The 1,601-nt window shown below is 41.8% G+C and overlaps 1 annotated feature.

Moving 5' to 3' along the window:
* Positions 1,153 to 1,332: an enhancer, noted in NCBI's record as "active region_19345". NCBI's record gives its function as "activates an Ori minimal core promoter by ATAC-STARR-seq in GM12878 lymphoblastoid cells {active_cell/tissue: GM12878}" and the evidence as "EXISTENCE:reporter gene assay evidence [ECO:0000049][PMID:35858748]".

A 1,601-nucleotide genomic window follows, 5' to 3' on the forward strand; every position in this document is an offset into this window, starting at 1 on the left:
TATTGATTACATTTTAAATGCCCTTCATTTCATAATAAATATTTTACAACAAGCATCCAGCTCATTAATGCATTGCAGTATGGTCAATATACGCAACATCAGAATTCATATATTATTTAATGACTGAAGCTAATGAGAAATCATGATATTGGTGTTTTTTAGACTTGTTCATTTTTCAAAGTGAGCTTTAAGCCAGGTGCACAAATACCCATTAGCCACAAGATGGCGGGGTTGGTATTTAACAGAGAGTGGCCGGAGAGGAAATACTGGACTTGGACTTGAGAGAATGGCTCACATGCAGAAACAGACGCACACATTCTCTATCTCTGCACTTAAATGAAGAAGAAAATGAAAGCAGATAAGAAAAGAAAGGCATTTAAATAAATGCCCAAGTAAGATTTCAAAGATTGAAAAACGTTCCCAAACTAACTGATGTTACCTGGGTTTGTGACCTCACTAGAAGGTCTGACTATATGATGCCAGTGCTTGGAATTCACCAATTCCTAAAACATATTTGCCGCCCGCACAACCTTTTTTTCACCTCTCACCAAGACAACAAAAAAGTGAAGTTAAATTTTAAACATTAAAAAATAAGGGAAATACCTTGAGCTTGGGTTATTTTAAGAGCCCCACATTCTTTTGGCACATAATTTTTCATGTGTCTGACCTTGGGGACAAGCTTCTACATCCTCTCCTGCCCCTTCATTGGCTCCCCAGCCTCCTTCTGGCCCTGCCCACAACTATGCTTCTAAACTCTTTCCTGTTCAAATCATATTAATTTTCATCCTCCCAGTTAAAGGAAACAAAATCACTGCTCTTCATTCTTTTAGTTCTCTTCGCTAATGTGAATCCTTTTCTTCTTTCCATTTCTGTAAATAAATTGCAAGAACTCCTTGGGGCCGGGCATGATGGCTCAGGCCTGTAATCCCAGATACTTGGGAGGCTGAGGCATGAGAATCACTTGAACCTGGGAGGCAGAGGTTGCAGTGAGCTGAGTTTGTGCCACTGCACTCCAGCCTGGGGGACAGAGCAAGACTCCGTCTCCTCTCATAAAACAGCACAGGCAACCCTGCCTCACTCCTCACCCATTCCCATCCCAGCAACTGGCTTCATCACCCCTATCTACCCTTGGTGATCTTACTTTCTAAAATTCTTCTCTTGGCCCTCAGGGGATTTCCTTCCTATGGTACTACAAAGACTTCACAGGGCTGCTCTTGCTCTGGTCACACCTCAGATAAATTTCAGTTTCATTCTGCCCTGGCATTAGAACGAATAGCCTCATTCTCACATTTTGCTAACTGATTCTCCTCACAGTGTGGAGCTATAATGAAAATAAGAGCAGGGCAGATTTACTCTGTTTTAGTCAGGATTCTTGGTTTTCGGTGAAAACAGCTCATGCTTTTTTATTTGGCATGTTGGAGTCTAGCTGACTAGCATAAAATCAGGAATCTGCGCAGCTAGTCCTGGCGTCTACACGTTAACTGTGAGACCTTGGGCATGACCTCCTCGGGCCTCAGAGTCCTTTGTAAAATGAGGGCCTTCCAAACATGCTCTCAGAGACTCTTTCTCATTCTAACATTTTTTAATTCTGTAAATCAGTG

The sequence above is a fragment of the Homo sapiens genome, chromosome 3 (assembly GCF_000001405.40).
Source record: "Homo sapiens chromosome 3, GRCh38.p14 Primary Assembly".
NCBI lineage: Eukaryota > Metazoa > Chordata > Mammalia > Primates > Hominidae > Homo > Homo sapiens.